Source organism: Homo sapiens, chromosome 2, assembly GCF_000001405.40.
Source record: "Homo sapiens chromosome 2, GRCh38.p14 Primary Assembly".
NCBI lineage: Eukaryota > Metazoa > Chordata > Mammalia > Primates > Hominidae > Homo > Homo sapiens.
The window spans coordinates 204950696-204972745 of NC_000002.12; the positions used below are offsets into that span (position 1 = coordinate 204950696).

General features: G+C 36.9%; 1 protein-coding gene across 16 annotated transcripts in view; it reads left to right on the forward strand.

Moving 5' to 3' along the window:
* The window catches only part of PARD3B (par-3 family cell polarity regulator beta), a 1074688-nt gene that overhangs the window by 405221 nt on the left and 647417 nt on the right, over nucleotides 1–22050 (forward strand). For 14 of the 16 annotated variants that reach the window (XM_047443208.1, NM_001302769.2, NM_205863.4 and 11 more), the window contains one exon: nucleotides 14457–14628. In XM_047443208.1, the coding sequence (XP_047299164.1) occupies nucleotides 14457–14628 (172 nt within the window). Of the gene's footprint in view, nucleotides 1–7242; nucleotides 7958–14456; nucleotides 14629–22050 lie in introns of those variants that run through there. The other 2 variants (XM_017003284.2, XM_017003283.2) reach the window with 2 other exon arrangements.

The following is a 22050-nucleotide window of genomic DNA, read 5'->3' on the forward strand; positions in this document are numbered from 1 at the left end:
TGACTTAAACTGTCTTCTAAGGTAGTACTATATTTTCAGTCAAGAAATATGAACTAGACATTCAAATGGGAGACTCCTCAAAGATTTGGGAGATTGCAGAAGATATCTCATAGGCGCTAAATACTGAAACCCTGTTTTTCTTTGTTTGTTTTTTAAACCACAATCTGGAATCCAAGCATACAACTCTGTCTTCTCACTGCTCTGGAATTTTTTGATTCAAGCATTCTGATTTCAACTAGCAAGGTTCCACTGGGACTATAAGGTGTATAAAACCTACTAAGGGGACTAGAGATTTTATATCCTCTAGCCAGCCTATCTTCTCCTTGCTGGGCAATTGAGGGAAGAAGTCAAACCAGAGATTGCTTAGGAAATGTGAAACCAGAATAAGCATGGAGAGTCATATAATTCAAGCAGGGCCAACTTGCTATGCACATGACCTAAGGGTTCCATGCTTATAAGAGGCCCATGCTTGGTTTAATCCTCTACTGTCATCATCTTGAAGTCCTTAACATTTTTAGAACAAGGTCTAGACATTTTCATTATACACTGGGCCCCAGAAGTTATGTACTCAGTCCTAGATTCATGAATTTGATGATATTACGCCATGATTTTTCATATGTCTGTCAACTATTTCATAGTATGTAGATCTCTGTTACTGGGACTTCAGGTTTGTTCCTTAATCCAGTGGATCCCTTCAACTGAACAGTACCTAAAATCGTCCTGCCAGCAAATACACCTCTGACACCATTCTCCTAACTGTATTACCATCTGTTATCTCATTGAAACACCACTTCTGTAGCCTGTTTATCTGGTCATTTAAATATTGTTCTGGGTGCATATTTTTAAGTTCACTTTGTGTATTTATAATTAGAACATTACTTTTTTAATAGATGAACTCTCTGAGAGAACCCATGTTTCCTGATTCTTTGAGAAGTGTTTCATATGTTACCTACATGTAAATAAAATAAGTATTAAGTTTGAAATTTACATGAGAGTGGGATTGTCAGAGCCAACTGGATGATAGAACAGAACCAAAACCATTTTGGTAGGATAGAGAAATGTGGTTAGAAAGCAAGCAGTCATCAGGGTGATAAACCAGCTGAATCCTGGCAAATATGCTGTTCAAGAAATGATGAAAAGAGGACTTTGGTGAGAGTCAAAGACGCATGCTCACAGACACATTTTTATTTTTAACCTGTCACTGTCACTGGTCAGATCCTTTCTAGAGTTTTTAATCCTTGGTAATTTGAAGAACAAGGAGATAGTTTACAGGAATGCAACAAAGATGATTGATGACTGGATAGTGGGGGATTGTGGAAGAAAAGCTAAAATACATAAAATGTTATTTTTTCTGGGGAATAAAAAAAGTAACTAATGGAAGCTTAGAGTCTTTAAGCACATGAAAGTTTTTAAAATGAGTTTTGTGAGTAGATTTACCCCGTGCTAGTAATGGACATATTATATGAAATTTCAACATAAAGAATTTTCAGAAAATAATGATAGACACTTGGATTATGCAGTCATCGAAATATTAAAATTTTATTTGTGCATATTTTTATTGTAATAGCTTTTATCCATCTGTATTTGTTTAGAATATGAATGTGTGATTTAAAAACCAAAGGCCCATCAATCAAAACACTTCCCACCTGCTCTCTCTTAAGGGACTATCAAAGTAGTAAATTAAATGAAACCAACATTGTTTTACTACTTGCCCATCATAAAATATTACTGGTTCCAGGTGAGTGCCTATTTACAAGAGACCTTTGAAGATTTAATAGGGGTTTTAAGTGAATGGAATACCATGTAATGAAAAATTTTACATCATAAACAAAATTGAAAGGTAAACTGGCAAAAAATAAATTTGCAAAAATAAAAGACAACTTCAGTATACTTAAAATAAAAAGTACTTATACATGTTAATAAGAAACACTAAAAACAAAGTGAAAAAGAAGGGCAAAGAGTATGAACAGACACTTTACTGAAGAAGTAAAAATAGCTCATAAAAATATTGTCAATATCACGGTCAGGCGCGGTGGCTCACGCCTGTAATCCCAGCACTTCAGGAGGCCGAGGCAGGCGGATCATGAGGTCAGGAGATGGAGACCATCCTGGCTAACATGGTGAAACCCACCTCTACTAAAAATACAAAAAATTAGCCGGGTGTGGTGGTGGGCGCTTGTAGTCCCAGCTACTCAAGAGGCTGATGCAGGAGAATGGCGTGAACCCAGGAGGTGGAGCTTGCAGTGAGCTGAGATCTTGCTACTGCACTCCAGCCTGGGCGACAGTGCGAGACTCAGTCTCAAAAAAAAAAAAAAGGTATATATATATATGTGTGTATATATGTATATATGTATATATACGTATATATATAGAGAGAGAGGGAGAGAGAGAGACAGAGTCAATGTCACTAGTAATAATTGAAGTTTAAACAGCATATAATTTTATAGGCAAAATTAGTAATTATTAGAAATAACACTTAGCATTGGGACTATGCAGAGACAACCTACACTTTCGTATGTCTGGAATGGGAGAATGCTACAACATTTACAAGATGGCTGAATATAATGTGAAATGTTATTCAACCATATGAATTTTCTTTATTTGTCTTTATGGATTACAATTAGGGAAAGTTGCTCATAAGAAAAATAGTAATTGAAAATATCAGAAACAAAATTGTGTGTTATGCATTGTGAATTGACATATATATGTTAACATACACACACACAGAGAGAGAGAGAGAGAGAGAGAGAGAGAGAGAGAGAGAGAGAGAGAAGGCTGGAGGGAAAGCACCAGAGTTTAATTCTTTTGAAGTTTTGTTCACTTTTTTCTCTCTGTAACACACAAACACACTACAGACACAATTTGCTGGAGGGATCTGGGGGAGTTATATCATCATATCTTGCCCCTACACTTTTCTTTTTGAACTTGGAAACTATAAACACCAAAAGTGGTAAAGTACAAAAGTGGCCATTAGGTCTGGGAGTATTAGATTGAGGACTGGCTTTGGAAACCCAGTATTGCCAATGGTCACAGCAACCTAGATTTTTGGGTCCAGTCCTAATTTCAAAACTTGTGTTCCGTTATTTGCCGTAATAATTATGCTCAACGTATTTCACTTTTTGATTTAGAAACAAGTCATAGTTTTATGTGCTTATATTTTAGGTGCTTTTGGAAGGCCTTTTGTGCTAAATTTATAAATCTAAAACTAACTCGCAAAGACTGTCTATGATTAGAGACAAGACCCAGAAAGTCAACTGTTCCCAGAAAAGAGGTGCCACACCACTTATGACAGTGAGGAGGGAGCGAGGACCCCAGCCTTCTTGTCTTCGGGCCCCAGTTAGCGAGGCATCATTCTATGTTGGTTTAATACACCCACAATCATAATTACAAATCTTGACATTTAGATGCTCCCAAAGTCAGCACCCATCCCAGCAGGGTTAGCCATATTATCACTAGTTAAGGAGATATAGAGCAATTAGAAGCTAAAGGAAAAGGTTAGCACTTCCACTCAGACAGAAGGAGTTCAGCAGCTAAACCCACCTGTAGTTGCAGTGTTAATTTTTTTAAATATGGGCTTTGAAGCCTTGTCATCCATGACAAGGGAGGTCTGAGTCTAAATGGAATATTTAAGAGAAGTGCTTCCTCATCCTCCAATCAGGCTATATGCTGACCTTTCTGTAGCCTCCACCAGTTGCTCAGCTGTCATGAAATGCTGGAGAAGGTAGAACATCATTGGACCTGTCATGAGGTCAATCAGCGGGAGCTCAGGCCAATTTGCTAAACGTGTTCATGCTAAAGAGTCAGTTCCCTAACCAGTCTGGTGAAATGTAGTACCAATTAATCACCAGCTAATTTTCAGGGGATTGTGACCTTCTCCATATTTGCAGTCCACTCGCTACCTTACCTGGCCTTGGGGGATCTCTGGCCTGGAATATGAGGCCACCCCCAGGACATATGAAGCTGTCAAAACTTGTGTTATAGGCTACCAGGGTGACAGGCCAGGAGACAGGTATGCCCATTGCACCTGCTCCGGCCAGCACTGACCTATTTTAGTCAGAACATTCAGTGTGGTTTGCAAACCCTAAAGATATTCATACAGCTCAAGTATATGCAAAATCCATCACTTTGAAATTTTTAATGATATAGTAAGATACTGTTTTTTCTATCAACCTATCAGTTCTTTATTTGTCTTTAGAAGGTGGTGGCTTTGTCACCATTCTCTGCAGAGGTTTATTATCTGAGAGCTGTTGGGTTGTCTTAAAAGCAGAAAGGTTCCTTTTTTTTATTTTACAAAATAGGCTGCTCTATTTGTAGCCAAGTCTCATAAATTAGAATACTTGTCAAAATAAATGAATAGTATGTTTGTTATATTCATGACTTAAAATCACATTTGATTGCTTACTCATTAATCCACAAAATTAAGCAATACATGCTGGATTGCAGTCATTAGTACAAATAAGCAGCGTTCTTCTAACAGTCAGCCATCGTAGAGAATACTGTACAGTTGTGTTTGTTTCAAAACTAGGTCTGTTAATGCACAAATTAGTTTTACAATTTCAAAATAATTCCTCTGGAAGAAAATCAAATACATATATGTAGTCCACCAGGAGACAAGGTTGGAATCATAATATACTAAGTAGATTTTAGATGTGTAAATTGTTAAATGCAATTTTGCATTGAACCTCAAGGATGGATGGAAGCTATTTTGCTGTGCATAGGAACGTATGTGGCATGAAGGTGACCTTTATCCCTAACAGGATGGAAAAGTCAGGAGTAGGGAGATGGTGTCCACACCAAAGTGAAGATACCCATATGGCAGAGGCTTTGTTCTCTTGCTTGGATATAGCAGAAAATGTAGATCATTCATTTACCTAAGGAATTTTTTCCCATGTGCCAAGAAACATACTTGCAGCTTGGAATATAAAGTCAGTTGTACTTCAGTTTTTTTCATCTGTAAAATGGGAATAACAGTGGATTTATCATAGGATTTCTTATGAGTATGAAATAAAATAATACATTTCAGCACTTAATACAGTGCCTAGCACATAGTAAGGGCTATATAAGTATTTGATAAATATTTTTATTGATGTGACCCATAGTTTTAAGTAGCTTACTGTTGACATATAGGTAGGGACAAGTATACCAAGGACCCTCGTGCTATGTGACAAGTGATGATACAGTCATGGATATAGCACTGTGGGACACTGGAGGGCCTGGTGCAGATAATTATGGCAGACTTAAACTTTATTTCAAAAGTTTGACAATGTATGATGAAGAACTTGAAGCTGGGCCAAGACCACACCCAGATCTGTTTGCTGGAAAGACCACTTTGGCAATAGTGTTATGGTTAAATGTCAGGAGGCCAGATTGGAAGTCAGAAGCAAACCCAGGCCCTTGCCATGCTCTTTGGGCTTATTTAATTGTTGGAGAATGATCTTTGCAGAAATAAACCAACCTTAGGTTCCAATAAGTTATTGCCTTCAAGGATTTATTGATATACCTATGGATGGTGGTGGCAGCATTATGCTTTGGCTGAGAGATTGCCAAGGAGTATGTTTCTGAGACGATTCTATCTTTGCTTTGGCTAGAGAGAAGAAGTTGTAGGGAAGGAGGGAAAATGAAATGGAGCTAGTTAAATAATATTGAATATGGATGTTACAATATTGTAAATGTATGTAGTGCTTTATACTTTAGAAATATTTTCCATATACTATTTTATGTCTTCTAGTGTTGGATATACTTGCTTCAAATAGAATATTCTTTAAAAAAAGCAGGTAAGATGTGTGTAATTTAGTTAAGATTAACTTGAAGAAAAACTACTTGTGTGTGTGTGTGTGTGTGTGTGTGTATGTGTGTCCACACATTTTAAATATCCCAGCTTGTTTTGTGTCTCCATTTCCTCCCAAGATAGTCAAAGCCCTTGAGATTGGAAAAAATTAGTCTATGTAGCTAGTGATACATTGGGCAAATGGCAAGTGAGGCCACCTAGTAGATTGGGATCATCTTTGAGAATCTTCCAGACAGTTTAACTCAAGTTTTTTATTTCCACCTTTGCATGTGTCTGGTTTTTTAAATTATGCGCAATTCATGGGAAGCAAGAATGTTATTGACAAGGCAGGTATATAGAGTTTTTAAACTTTCTGAAAATTTGTGTTATTCTGTGATGCTTGAAACTTCTCCCTGCTTTTGTTCTGGCTTGCTTTTTCCATAGTTAATCCCTAGATATCTCTAGGAGAAGGGCTTCATGGATGCCACTTGACCTCCATGGCACCCTTTGCCCTACCACTGCTAGAGATGGTGAAGGGCACAGAGACAAGGGCTCCTCAGGCCTCCCCTTTGTGTATTAGATGTGAGTCGTGAATGTTGTTTAATGAATCATGAGTGATTGTCCCTAAAAGTAAATAATACAGCAGACACAAATTCAAAATTCTCTCCAACTTGTCAAGGGATAACATATCATCTTTGAAATTTTAATTCAAGTCAGAGAAAAAAATGTGATTCAATATAAGATGGGTTTAATGTGTATCTGGCTTCTTTAGGAACATACTACATAATTTCAAAGAAATAAATGTATATTTGGCTGAAATATGGGTGGTTATTTAATAGGGCATATTTTTGTTATTATGGGATAATTCAAGCAGATGCATCTTTAAAAAGTGATAAGGATAAATAGGGTTTTCAGTACAGTTGAATAAGTCATGTTATTTTCTTCAGAATAATGCTTAAAGCTGTAAAGTTTTTAAAGGTTCCTGTTCTGAATTTTCAGTTTGGGGAGGAAATGAAAATAGGTTTATCTCATTTACTGACTGTCAGTTGAACTTTATGAGAATCAGAGCTGTTATGTCCCTGCTTTGAGGATGCTGGAGCTGATGCTTGCCTCTGATGAAGATGCTAATGTGAGCCTGCTAATTTTTAAAATCCGGATTAAATGCTTTTAGCTAGCTGTCAAAATCCTGGGAAGGAAGAGAACGTACTTTGAAACCTTTGTTTAAAGTAGCATAAAAATTAGCTCACATAGCCAATTGTTATTTAGTTACAAGCAGATGCACACATACATTTAAATGAAATTCTGCAGTTTCACTCCCTTCCCAAAGGTGATAATGTGATTTTCTCTACTTGTGAAATTGTTGTAATTTCACAGTCTTACTTAGATTTAATTGTGTTTATTAAGATTTGAGACAAACGATTCCAATTTTATTTTATAGGATACTGGGTTTTTTTTTGTCTTTTAATTTAACTTGATAGTTGGTAACACAGAATATGTAGGAAACAGTAAAAAATATCAATACATTGTTTAGTTCAACAGTTTAACCCAAAGAACTCAATGTGGCAAATAAGCCTTTCTTAGTAAGTAGTACATTAGTTCACTTGACATGTAATTAAAATAGAGCCACATATTTCTCAGTGTAATCACTAATAAAAATGCCATTATAAATACAGTTGATTTTACTCTGTAGCATTTGGATGATTCTTTTTTATTTTCTACATAGGCTAAAGATAATAGCATCAGATTATAAAAATTCAGGCTATAAAAATGACAGAATGCTACAGGTTGGCAACAGAATAAACCACACCATGAATATTGAGAGACTCTGCAATAAATGTACTTCATGGCATTTATTGTTAAAATATTTACTTGTCGGCATAGAAGTTGAAGGCATTGGTATATTGCTTCAAGTTATGGTTGGCAAAGACCAGACAGCACAAACCATGTACTGCTAGGCAGAAGAGTGATAGAGTACTGTATTGTCTAAGGGTTGTGTGTTCTTGTATGATGAAGAACAAGAATAAAGGAAAAACAGAAATTACCTATTGGTTGTGTTTGATCTTGGTACTTTTTGTGTTCCTCTGTCAGTCCTGTGATGAAGAGATTAAAGAGAAACAACAAAGTGAAAGCAAAATACGGATAAACAAGTCAAGTGGGACTCAGTCTGGAAGCCAGAGAAGGATAGCTATGGTAGGAAAAGAAATTAAATTTAACCTTTCATTGTGTGCCAGCCTCTATGCTCAGCATTTGGGCATGTTAGGGATATTATCAAGGAAGTTAGTATTCTACCCTATTCCTTCTCACCCCCAAAAACACTCACATGTTCACACACACTTTTACTAGTGATATTGATCATAATAACCTTAGTGTTTTAGGATAAAAACAGATCTGAGTCCTGGAAGGGATACTGATGGAGTGAAATTGCAGAGTACATGGCTCTTTTTATCAGATCTGTTATTCAGGGTCATGGATGTTGTAAATTATCCAAAGTTCTTTTTTATTGTTTTTAAATTTTGCTTTAAGTTCTGGGATACATGTGCAGAACGTGCAGGTTTGTTACTTAGGTATACATGTGCCATGGCGGTTTGCTATACCTATCAACCCATCATCTAGGCTTTTACCTCTGCATGCATTAGGTGTTTGTCGTGATGCTCTCCCTCCCCTTTCCCGCCACTCCCCCGACAGGCCCTGGTGTGTGATGTTCCCCTCACTGTGTCCATGTGTTCCCATTATTCAGCTGCCACTTATGAGTGAGAACATGCGGTGTTTGGTTTTCTGTTCCTGTGTTAGTTTGGTAAGGATGATGATTTCCAGCTTCATCTACATCTCTGCAAAGGACATGAACTCATTCTTTTTTATGGCTGCACAGTATTCCATTGTGTATATGTGCCACATTTTCTTTATCCAGTCTATCATTGAAGGGCATTTGGGTTGATTCCAAGTCTTTGCTATTGTAAATAGTGCTGCAATAAACATGCATCTTCATGTGTCTTTATAGTAGAATGATTTATATTCCTTTGGGTATGTACCCAGTAATGGCATTGCTGGGTCAAATGGTATTTCTGGTTCTAGATCCTTGAGGAATTGCCACACTGTCTTCCACAATGGTAGAACTAATTTACACTCCCACCAACAGTGTAAAAGTGTTTGTTTGTTGTTCTTGTTGACTTTCCTTTTCTTTTTATCTTTACAAGGTAAAGGAATGAGAAAAATATGGAATGAGTTTCTAAAATAAGGTTTATGGATATCACTTTTTTTCTAGGAGAATCCTAGTTTCAGATGTTCCTTTCAGATCGCCCCTGGGAACATAGGAGTGAATGCATACAGTTAATGAAGCTAGTGCCTAATCTTTAAATTGGGAACACCAGTCAGCCCTGGCAATTAATATCTACATATTGAAAATAATTCACACATACCACGTTAATGTATTTATTTCCATGTGTTTTCCTAACTCCTGTTTAGAAGGTAGATATGTTCCTGTGAACCTCTTTCTCTCAAACAGGGTTACCCAAATCATGAGATAAACATTTCACTTTCCTGATGCCTTAATCATGCAATCTTTTCATATTGAAAAGAAGTACAGAAAGCTGTTAGGGTCTAAAATGTGAAATTTTCACGACTTTGAAAATAAAGCTGGACACATCACTGTTGAGCTTATGACGTGCCTCTTCAGGCTGCATCTCCACTTGCTGTGAAGTTTTATTCACATTTGTCCTTAAGCTACTTTAAGGGACACTTTTAAAAAGCTTTACAATAGATAAATCAAAGTGGTGTATTGGCAGATAGCTGGGTGAGGGAGTGCCTGGGACAGACTGCGAACTCCACCACCTCTCCATTCAGCCTGCATCCTGCTTCATCCAGTGACCAAATGGGCTGACTCCCCGTTTTGAAAGTGAGCCTGAAAAGGAAAGAGAAGATAGATAATCTCCAGTTTTGGAGTATGATGTGGCAGAAGCAATTTCCCCCAGTGTTGAATAAAAAAGGAGGAATTTATCGGCCATAATTTCCAAAGCCAAACCAACAATAATGATGATGATGATACCTAGAGCATCTTAAGATTAAATATGGATCATTTATACACATTCATTTAATTTTTTAAAAAAATATTTGAATGTTTATTCTAAAAACATGTGAAAAATCTAGGTGTCTTTTGTTGTTGTGTTAGGTTTTAGTATCTGTTTGCCTCATATTTCACTAATTTTTTTCAGCAAATTTACATTGAGCACCTATGATGGCATATTCACTCTTCGAGCCAATGGGGATACACAATCAATAACAAACTCAGGGTTCTCATGGAGCTTACATTCTAGTGAGGTGCGGAGACAGGCAATAAAATAAGAAGAGCTGTGATGCTGACAGGATGATACACATGGTATAAAATAAAACAAAGGCGGAGAATACAGAGAGTAATGAAGATGCTGCAATTTAGTGTAGCCAGAGAAAGGCTGGCATTTGATTAAAGATCTGAAAGATCGAGGAAGAAGCCTTGCAGGTGCCTGGTGGAAGACTGTTTCTGGCAGAGAGAACAGCAAGTGCAAAGACCCTGAGGCAGGTACAAAGACAATAGTGCAGCTGGATGGAGTCCTGAGAACAAGGGGCGGGATCAGCAGAACACGACGTCAGAAATGGAACAGGAGCAAGTGACCTTCTGGGCCATTGCAGAGACTTAGGCTTTTCTTCAAGTGAGGTGGGAAAGTATTAAAGGAGTCTCATCAGAGGAGACAGGTGATCCAATTCATGCTAGCAAGGTCAGTCTGGCTGCTGTGTTGCGCGCAGGGGAAAGAGGCAGTGGGTAGAAACAAGGGAACTAGTCAGGGGGCTGTTAAGAAACACATGGTAGCTGGGTCCAAAGTGGTGACACTGGAGGTGGTGAGAAGTGGTCAAATAGAGTGTATGGGAGACAGAGCAAGAGGGGAGAGAAAGAGAGTTGAAGGATTGCTACAAGGTGTTTGGCCTGAGCAACTTAGAAGGATGAATTGCCATTAATTGGGATGTAAAGAGCTATGGAAAGAGCTTTGAAAGGTCACTTTTTCCATTTTTGACATGTTAGATTAGGAAATGAGCCTGGAGTTATAGAAGGTCTGGGTTGCACCACTTAAAATTTTGAATTTATCAGCCGATAGAGTTATATTAACCCATGAAACAGATGATATCACTAAACAAATTTAGACATATGCTCTTCAACATTTTTAGAGACTAAATGTGGAAGATGACGAAGAAAAACCAAAAGAAAACTTGATGGGGGCCCAGAGAAATAAGGGTATACCAAGAGACTGGTGCCCTGGAATCCAAGTGCAGAAAGTACTTTGAGAAGGCAGTAATCACCTGTGTCCTGAAGTAAAGCCAGAGAAGCACCTTTGGATTTAGGAATCTAGAGATTATTTTTGACCTTGATAAGAGCAGTTTCAGTGGAGTTGAGGGGTGAGAGCCTGACTAGAGTGGCTTCATTAAAGAATGGGAGGAGAGATACTGGAAACTGCTGTGTAGACAGCACTTTCAAATTTTTGCTTTAGAGGGGAGGCAAAAAATGGGGTGGGACCTGTGGTAAGTGGATCCTGAGAAGGTCATTGGTTTGTTTGATGGGAGAACTTCTAGCATATTCATAGACTGACCTTCCTGTGTCTATCTGGGGATTAGATGCTTAAATACTGACAGAGATCTTGTGGGAACAGGAGTTTTGACTGGAAGTAAAGATTGTGTAAACAGATCATTTTGGATTATGGGGTCTCCTGGAAATGCCAGCACTGCAGTAGGTGGCATGAGGACACTGGCATCATAGAAGGAGACTGGAGGGCAGACCAGAAGGAGAGAGAAGGCAGCAGAGGAGGAATCATCCAATCCAACATTGCCTGTTTGTATTGTGTAGGGTGTGGGTTACTGCAGCCCCTGAGGTGTCAGTGGAAGTTCTTCTGCATGCCATACAAGTTTACTCTAAGCGAAACCTTAACACAAAAGCTTTTTAAATAGAATTCCTTCTTTCATGTTCAGCGCATCTCTGTGGGAAAGATAACTTTGAATGGGTTTAAAGGCAAGGAGGGAAGGCCATTTCCATGCACTAGATTCTTTAAAAACCAGCATGCATTCTGTTGAGGGACTAGAACAGTGGTTTATGTTAATTAATGAGTCTCTGTAACACTGTCTTCTGGGGAGTCTGCTACCGAGGAATGTAGGTGTTCAGATGACTGAAGTAATTTAGTTAACAAGGACCTGCAACATATGATTTAAACCAGTTATCAATGTTGAAACAAGCATTAAGTCTGTGTATATTGTAGATGTTGAGATGAAGACTGGATGCAGAGTCTCTGTTCAGCAAGCAACCATGGGAGCCATGACAGGTCAGGAGCTGGTCCTCTTCTTCCCAGGAGTACAGACTTTTTCATCCATTCACCATAACTAGGTGCTAATTGGGAAACAGTCTAAGCAATTGATTTTAATCAAAGAGCTTATGAGATTTGGGGAGCATCAGGTCTTACTATTATCATCTTCAAGAAAAGTTACGTTTTGCCTGTGTCTCCAAAAAGTGGAATTCACATTCTTTAGGGTATAACACGCTAATGGACAAATTACAGACAGTAGACAGTCTTCATTGTAGCCTCTCTTTTTACAGCTTTCTTTTTGGAAAACAGCTACAGTATAGGAAAATACTTTCTCTGGATTGAAAATTAAAAAGACTAGATTCCACTACCAGCTACCATTTAGTCAGTGACCTTGGGAAACAAAACTTCGGAGCTACTCTGTTCTACCATTTGATAAATAGGTATAATATTCTTACTGCATACACTGTATTCTTATGTGGATAAAATGTATGGAAAACAGCAAAGTATCTTAAGAAAAAATATTTATCTTACGAGTTATCACTTTTAAGCTTTTGTATTATACTTCTAGTTGATGTTCTATTTTTTCTCGTTTTTCCAGTATTTAAGGCACATGGGTTATACTGAGTTAAGGATATCATATGAAAGAAGAGTAAGATATAACTTAGCTTACACTAAACTGTTCATAGTACCAATATAATATGCCATTGCCTAGTTGATTGGTATGTTAAATGTTAAAATGAACATTACTAATATATGTTAGAATTAATGAATACACAAAATTGAAGTTATTATATAACAGAAATAGTGATGAAAATCACACATCCACCACATTAAAAAGTTGATTTCATTTTCCTTTTCAAGATTTAAAGTGTTAAACTCATTCTGGCTGGATGATGAGAAAGATATCGTTCTACTGATTTTTTTATACTAGAATAATCTTTCATTATTATTAATATATTTAAGTCTTATCTCCAATAAGTTCATCAGTGCTACCAGTTACAAATAGAAAATGCATGTGCTCAATTTCAAGAATTAAAAATAATGCCTTGGGAGTAGCATTTCTTTTCTGTGGCAAGAGGATTGTTGGATTTTCCAATTAAAGAAGTCTCCATACTGGAAATGAGTAGTCAGTTATGAAAATTATTTTTGAATGGCGAATTTGCATATCCTTAATTGTATTCATTTCTTTTGAAAGATCGAACTTGAAATTTATGATGTTTTGATTGGTTAACCCTGCATTTCTGTTATTAATAATATTGCCAACAGGGTTCCCCTATGACTGGGGCTCTGAGTGTCTTTCCTGAATAAATGCTTGAATCATAAGTAGGTTTGTTTTACTTAATGAATAGAAAATATCTAAAGATGTACTGCTGGTTTTCACATTTACACACATTGCACTTTTTGGAATGACAGTAGCATCCTGTAGCTGCCTCATTTACTCACATTTGGACTTTTCTACATCAGCTGATGAGAAACCCTTGAAGTTTCTGAATGTTGGTGCTGTCTGTTGGCCAAAAGTGCAGTTTCAGCAGAGCCGTCGTCACTGTCTATACAGTAGTGTCTGTGTGATTACTTGAATTTTTAAAGATACCTTGCCCTTATTTTAAGGAAAAAATGACTTGGAAATGAACAATTTAGAGTTTTTATATTAACAGTAAAAAGCATAGTTCTCACGTAAAATAAGATTGACATATAATTAGATTAAAAGTAAGGATGTCGAGTCTTATTGGACTTAGCATTCCATTGGACTTAAACCAGTCAACACAGAGTCAGTCATGAAGGAAAAGAACAAAATTAAAGGCATGTACAAAAATGGGATACCTATTTATGCAAGATCAGCACAAATTGTATATAAGTATTCACACAATGTATGTATGTATATATGTATGTAGAGTGTATCTACAGGGACAGATACAATTAGGCATCTTGTAATGTGTTTTAGGTCTCCGAGACTGGAATAACCTCCCTATACTATTTAAGTCTATTATTCAATGCATATTCAACTTTCATTTTTGGAAGCACTCTTTAATAAAGAGTTAATGAAGTCATTTTAGGCATTTTAGGGAAGGTGGGGTAGTGGGAAGGGGAAGCAGCCATTTCATTCCTTTAAGAGAGTGGGCCAAAATTGGTTCTATTTTTCAGTAATAGACAAAATAAACAAATGAATAAACCAGTATTTATTATTTCTTGACCATGGTGCTTATAGACATAATATTATTGAAAAATTAAGAGTTGTGGTATAGTAACATTAACATTTTAAGTTTGATGAGGCGATTTTCTTTGCAACCAAATAAAGATCACGTTCAGCTAGATAGTGTCCGTGTGGTATGCATGTCCTACAAAGTAATTAGTGTTGTTGGATTTGTTTGTAGCTGATTGCTGTGTTTGAAGAACAAGAACCACTCCACAAGATTGAGAGCCCCAGTGGAAACCCTGCAGATCGGCAGAGCCCAGATGCTTTTGAGACAGAAGTGGCCGCCCAACTGGCCGCATTTAAGCCAATTGGTGGGGAGATTGAAGTAACCCCTTCTGCTCTAAAACTAGGTATGTGTAATGTTTATGATATTCTTTTCACCTGACTGAAGATCCGTCATCTTGTTGATTAGGCATTGTTTCTTCTTTGTGACTTTCATCCTGTTAATATTTTATATCGTGGTTTATCTTTTCTTTAAATTATTTTTTTACATAGCTCTTTGCAGCCACTGCTGCTTGGGTAAGTGGATGCAGCTTTTTCTTGAACTGAAGGTGAAGCAGAATTGTATGCCCTCGAAGTAACACGGGGGAGTCAGATGCTAAATGATGAAGTTTGCCTGTATCATATGAGTATAACTTTTTAAAAAATTCCTGAAAAAAACTCATTTGGGAAAAGCCAAGGTTTATCAAAGAATCCATGCTAGAAATAAAGGTCACTTTATTTTCTTAGCCTCAGTCTTTTTCTGCCCAAACTATAATCTCAGAATCTGGGGGAAATGTTTTGAAGTTAGTTTTGAAATTCTTTTCTGATGATTTATTCAGACAAGACAATTCATCCAGTAATTTTGCTTAGAAATATTTTTCATTATATTTGTAGAATGAGAAAGTAAATATTATTCTAAAGTTTCAATCAGTTTACAACTCCAAGAGAAATAACATGTCTGTTTTGGTGATACCTCCTAAAGATAAATTTAGCTCAATTTAACTGCATGAAGTTTTTGAAAATCCACTAATATCTTGGTATTTCAAACAACTTTTTATGCCTGTGGAATGTTTGTGCAACATTTTGAGACTACTTAGAGCACCTGTTATGAGGGAATTCTCAAGCTAGAAGAACAGAGGCTTATTCCACTTTGCAAAGGTCAGCTTCTTATTCTTTTTAAAGCAAAACATATGCTTAAAATGGTTAGAATCGTACATAGTACTCATTTTCCCATTTGAAATAAAATATATACTGTAAAGTTAAATTTACATACTCTAATGCTGACAATCCATATTTTGTACTGATTTTTGGAAAAGCATCTGTAGTGCCCCTTTTAAAATAAACCAAATGGAAATTAATGACCTATGGTCTAAGTGGGTTTTCCTGTATCTTTTGGAACCGAGCTAGTGAAGCAGTCTGCTGGAACGTGGCTGCTGGAGGGCTTTGTGGCAGCTTCTCTTCATCTGGAGCCAGCCTTGTGGCTTCAGCAACCTTACAGCCCCATCATTCATTTGCATAATGGATGCCTTTTTATCCATTATGCAAATGGTATGAGAGGAAAATTAGGCAATAAGGGAAGACGAAAGGAGAAAATTGCTCTTGCTTATTTTAATATTCTATTTATAAGCAAGCACTGTGGTCTTCAAATGGCCGAACCTCAGAGTACTTCTGTGCCGGAGAATTTGTTTTCACCTCTCTCTTATGAGCTTTGTCAGGGAAAAAAGATTGTTTTCTTCAGCTTTTTTGTTGGAATATTGAAACAACATAATATCGAATGCAAGAAAAAAAAGTCAGCCGAGATTCCCCTTCTTTGAAAGTGTGGACTGTCTACTTCTTCCATATGATTTTTGATAAGTCAGAGAAAACAATATTTATTACATGAGTACACACCATCTAAATCCCTTACTCATAATAACTCATTTATTTAAGCCTCGTCATACTTAATTAGTCGGCTTTTATTATTTTTATCGTTTAAGAGTTGAGGAATAGGTACAGAGAAGTTTAGTAACTCAGCAGAAATCCCATAGCTATTAGGTGGCAGAGCCAGAATTTGAACTGTTGCTGGCTGTGGTGTGAGAAACCATTTTGCTGTGCTGCCTCTGACATGCAATTCCTAAAACAACCAACTAATATAACTGTCTTGGGGTTTACTTTGAGAATATATGCCAAAACCCTGAAAATACTAAACTCCTTGGTCTACAATCTCATTTCACTTAGTACCAGATTAAATGATGAGACTAGCTCACTGTTAGGTGGGAAACATTCCCTTCCAACCATTTGGCCTGAAACCTTGGCATCACCTCCAGTTCCACCGTTTCCTTCTACCTCCCCCACTCTGTCAGCTATTCAGCTTCCTTGTCCACAGCCACCACAGCAGGCCAGAGCTTTGCCATCAATTAGACTATTGCAGAGGCCTCAGACTGACCTCTTTCTTTACACTGTGTGCTTTCTCCAGTCCCTACTGTTGCCAGAGCTGCCTTTCTAAATCACAAATCTGATTATGTAATATAACTCCCCTGCTTAACGACCTTCACTGGCTTCCCATCACCCTGAGAACCATATCTAAACTCGTTAGCAAGCTGATGCAGATGGTTCCTCTGAATCAGCAGGAGAAATTTGGGCAAGGATGAATGACGTAAAAAAATCATCCCTTACCCACTTTCATGGTTCTAGCAGTTTGAGTACTTTGCATTTCTGGAACTTAAAAAGCAAAGAAAAAACATATTTGTCAGGTTTTTCAGATAGCGAAGTTAAAGAAGGAAGCAACACAGCCAGCTTTGGTCTCCACCCATTCTGTTTTCCTGTTGTTGGCTCCGGGGCAGGATGTGGCCATAGGCTGTGCACCTCCAGATGGAGAGATGTGGTTGGCAGTAGAGGCAGTATTGATGGCACTTCTGGGAGTGTGACCTGGCTGTCCTGTCTGGTCCACCCTGAAAGCCTGCTTAGGTGAAGAATGGGAGGGGCGGTGAGAGGAGTTTTGCAGCACCTGTGCCCCAGCAGTTCCTCCTAACAGGGTGCTCATGAAATGTCAGCCATTGAACCCAGGCCCTTCATCTCCCTTCCCCAGTCAGCTAGTGTAGCCATTGGAACTGGTTGTACTTTTCACAGCTCATTCACCCAACCTGGTACAAGAGAAATAGGGCTTAATTTTTTACTGGTTTTCTCACTCTTAAGGCCACTTTCTTAAGAAAATAGCAAATTTAATCTTCATTGGCTTACATTGCTTTTCTTAATTAAGCAGACACAATTCAACAAATATTAGGAATCAAGAGATTTTTGTGATTACATCACATTGAGCACCCAAAATTTATGTTTTTCTGGAATCTGATATCAAAATATACTCAGTGTTCAGTATAATTTTTATATTTCTTTTTCCAACACAAGATAACCATCAACAATATTCTGTTAAAAACCAACAACCACCTTCTCCATGTAATGCATACAGAGGTTGACTCCTCCCATTCTTTCTTTATCTTCCAGGATGTAATACTTATGCATGCATATTCATATTCCCAGGCCCTTCATGATCTAGCTGCTTCCTCTCTGCCCACCTTTATTGCTGGCCAGTCTTTCACAGTCACCTTAACTTGCAGCCACTGTGAACCACTTGCCATTCCAAATTTACCACCTTCAAACCTCTGTGCCTTTGCAGATACTGTTCTCTTTAGCTGGCTCATTCCTTTGTCTCTTTACTGTATAGTGAACTCATATGCACCTTTTAAGTTCAAGCTCAAATATGACCTTCTTCATGAAGCCTTGTCCAAATCTTTAAAACAGTACAGTAGGCTTACAGTAAGTATTATTTCTTAATTCTTCATCTAACAATCAAGGGTTACAAAGACGAACAGCAGAAATCTACTGACATAAAGGGGTTCATAGTCTCATGCCCTATAAGCTGATGGGGTATATATTTTTAATTCGTAAGATGAGTTTTAAATCAAGTGGGCAACCACATAATTCCAACCTCATTCATCTAAATTATTTCCTATCATTTATTTTCTAATGGATTTTCTAATGTAATGCTGAATGACTGAACCCTGGGGATTCAGCCCTAAGTAGCAAATCACTTTCACACTTTAAGATTCTGTGGCTCTGAAATCAGCCAAAGCATGTTACCATATAGTACAGAGATTGCTGGCCTGAGAGTTCATTTAAATGATGAGATGTGGTAACCAAAATCCCAGGCGAAATTGGAAAGAATCATATTCACATGATCTATTTGGACTTAAAAATTTATAGTTCGAGAATTTTCCAAGTCTTCTCTGTGAAACCCCATGGTTCTTCTGAGCATGTATTAGGGTTTCAATGGATGCTTGATTCTAGTTAATAAATAACATTTATTGAGCGCTTAAGTTCTAGATGCTATTTAAATTTGTTCATTCTCCATCTTTGGACAAATAGGATTGGTTATGCTAGTGTGGAAGAAAGGGTGAAGAAGTCTAGAAAGTAGCCAATAAACAGAATCCCAATGCTTATCTACCCCAAAACCTCACCTCCACTCAAAAGATGTATGCATGCCTCAGAAAAACGTTTGTGAAATGCTGACCTAGAAATATGCAGTTCCACAGAATTTTATAATTAGCAATTGTGTAGGTAATCGATATTATTTTACAAATGAGCAAATAAAAGTTAAAATTCAATGTGTACTCTGATGTTGAATAAGGAACTAGAACTGGAACCCACATTTCTTGGCTTCTAGAACAGTGCTTGTTCAGTTGCATGACTTTTTAAAAATTAATTGTAGATTTCAATTATCCATATATTTTAGGTACTATATGTGATAGCACCTCACATCCTTTTGGAATTGAGTAGAGTGTAAATTAATAAATAGATACTATGAATAGGTATAAATCAAAAGCTACTGAGAGAACAAGACCAGGAAATGGAGGTGGAGAAAATGTCTTTTAAATCCTATACATTTCAGAAATGAGTTTGCTTCTGTCTTCTTATCTTCTCATCCCGTGTGTGTGTGTGTGTGTTTGTATGTGTAGGAAAGTTCCACTAAAACCAATATACTAATGGGATCCATAGATGTGGGGTTTTTTTTAATAACGTGGATATTTTAATAGACTTTCTGATTTTTTAAGTATGTACATATAGGGCCATCTGTAAAAAAGACAAATTAGTGAGGAAAATTATTTTGAAGTTTAGGAGGGTGGGAGTCTCCCGGTCCTTCCCCTGACTAGTCCCTACACTGCCTTCATGATTAGTACCTGACCACCTACTGTTCCATAAGAGGCTTTTTGTGGCCATAGATCAAGGTTGGCCCAACCCAATCTTTGTCCCTTGAGAGTCAGTGATATGGAGCTAGTTCTAGACCCTGCAGTATTTGATCTAGCTGTGTGATCAGGATAAGTCATTTAACCTATCTCTATCAGAACCAACTTTTTCCAAACAAAAAATAAATCAGGACAAATTTGGGACACATTCTAGCAAAGTAAAAATTGAAAACCAAGGCTATCCAGGTCACTCCCTGATGTGTCACCACCATATCTCCCTGGGCCACAGTTTCCTCATCTATAAAATAAGCTGTCCTTTCTCCAATGGGCCATGATGGTTCCTTGAGTGTTTTATTAATACCAAGCTGAGTTTGAATCCAACTCCATGCCTCTGCCAATTTCCCTGCTATGGCCCCAATTAATTAGTAGTTTTTTATTTTGTACCTTTTGATAATTTTTTTCAGTACTTCTTGATTGAAATTTGCTAATTTGGGTTCAAGCTTTCATGGGAAAATATTTATTTAGTTAAATTATTTTAGCAATGTAATTTAAATAGTTTTTCAGGATAAAAAGTACTTTAAACTTGGCTGTTACCATGCTTGTGATCTAGATTACCTTGATATAAAGTAATCTAAGTTTGGAGTTGAAGTGGTATTAGCTTTATTCTCCTCTTGTGTGTTAAACTTTGAAGATGAGCTACTTTCTATTTGAAAGTGATTCTTGTTTTTGAGACTTGAAAGCTGAAAGGTGCCTCAGATGCTTTATTGTTTCCATGTGTGTTTGTGATTCTTCAAAACCGAAATGGAAATTATGATTATGTGTTTGTTATAATATCATTATTTTCAAAACACTGAGTTCTCTTTCTTTGCAGTGGTGTTCAGCAAATACTGTGTAGCTATAGATTCCTGTTGAAAATTGTGACCATTTTCTATCTGATTTTGACTAATTTACTGCATAAAGGAAACATATGGGAACATTTTTCTCAATTTTTAAGCAAACCAAATCCCTTTATGGCGCTGATCTTCAGGAAAACGTAAAGAAAGGGGAAGTTTATTCCTTTAATTAGGCTGCTGTGTGTAAGTAGCTGCTGTGCCCATAATGTGAGTTTAAGTATTGGCATCTGATCCTAGACAAACACACTCACACCACACACATAGCAGAACTAAAGCTCAGGGATGGGTTATGCTTCTGATGAAGCCTTTGAATTCTGACTACAAAGCATATAAGCATGTGAGGGTTCCTTGTTGTTGGAAGCTCTTTGCTGTAGGCTGTGAAACCCAGAGTTAAAATTACCCAGAGTTAAAATTGCGTAGATGAATTCATAAGTTACAATTTGGTCATTGAGTTTCATCCTGTTTGTTTCCTGTTGAGGCTGATTATTCAAAAGTTAGCAGTTATAGAATAGTTTTTCTTTCTTTTTTTTTCCTTTCCTTCCCTGGGAGTCTGTTTTTTTTTTCCCCCTCCATGAAGGCTTAAATGAATAATGTTGTAATTAGCTATGGTAACCTTGCTAGGGTGTCATCAATCAGTCATAGCCATATAGTCAACAAAGTGTGTGCTTGCTTTCTGGTGTGACTATAACTAAATCAGGACTAAGGAGGCTATAGTGTTTCTAACCCATTTTGAGCACCACTCTTTTGCTACTGTTGTTTTGTTTTAATTTTTTTTTTTTTTTTTTTGTAGCAATGGGTCTTGCTATGTTGCTCAGGCTGATCATGAACTCCTGGCCTCAAGCAGTCCTCTTCCTCAGCCTCCCAAAGCATGAGCCACCACGCCTTGGCTGTTTTGATTTTTATTTTAGATTTTGTTTTCAGAGTAGTGAAAAAGTAGCTCTGTGGAAGAATGTCACGTTATTCATTGAATATTTAAAATTAATACTTTGTAAAAGGGCCAGTGGTACTAGTTAAAGAATAAAGTCAATACCTAAAGACAAGTAGCCCCTAAAAAATATTAAAAGGTAATTACCATATGGGAGTAATTTTTGTTTGTATTGAGTAAAACTATGAGCAATATTTTAAATATACAATTTTGAATATGCCTGGCATTACCTCCTTTTGCAGATGAATATATATAGGCCTCATAGTTGATCACTTCCTACCATTTTGTTAAAATAAAATGATGAAGTTTGCTTGAGAACATGCTATAGTTTTATAAATGCATTTTAAATGAGATATTACTTATTAAAATTATATAGTGTTACACTTCAGAAAAATAAAAATTACCACCATCCTAACAGAACTTGTATTTTCATTTTTTTGTTTTATATTCAGTTAACTTTTGTATTTTAGTCTTATTTCAATTTTCTTTTTTTTTCTACCTGCTTCAGTTACCCTTTTGTCTCTTTAATTTTGTGTGCTATATCTGATGGCTAAGTTTAGCAGTTAAATTTATACTAAGTTGGTTGTACTCAAATAAAATAGAAAATTATTAAAAGGAATTTACATGTAACCATTTAACCAAAAATATAAGACAGTACATAAAACCAAGCTCTCATTTTTGTCCTTTTTCCAGCTGTATTTTCTAAGTTGATTATGTGACCTCTAAAAAAACAGAGTTCACCATCTCCCCTTT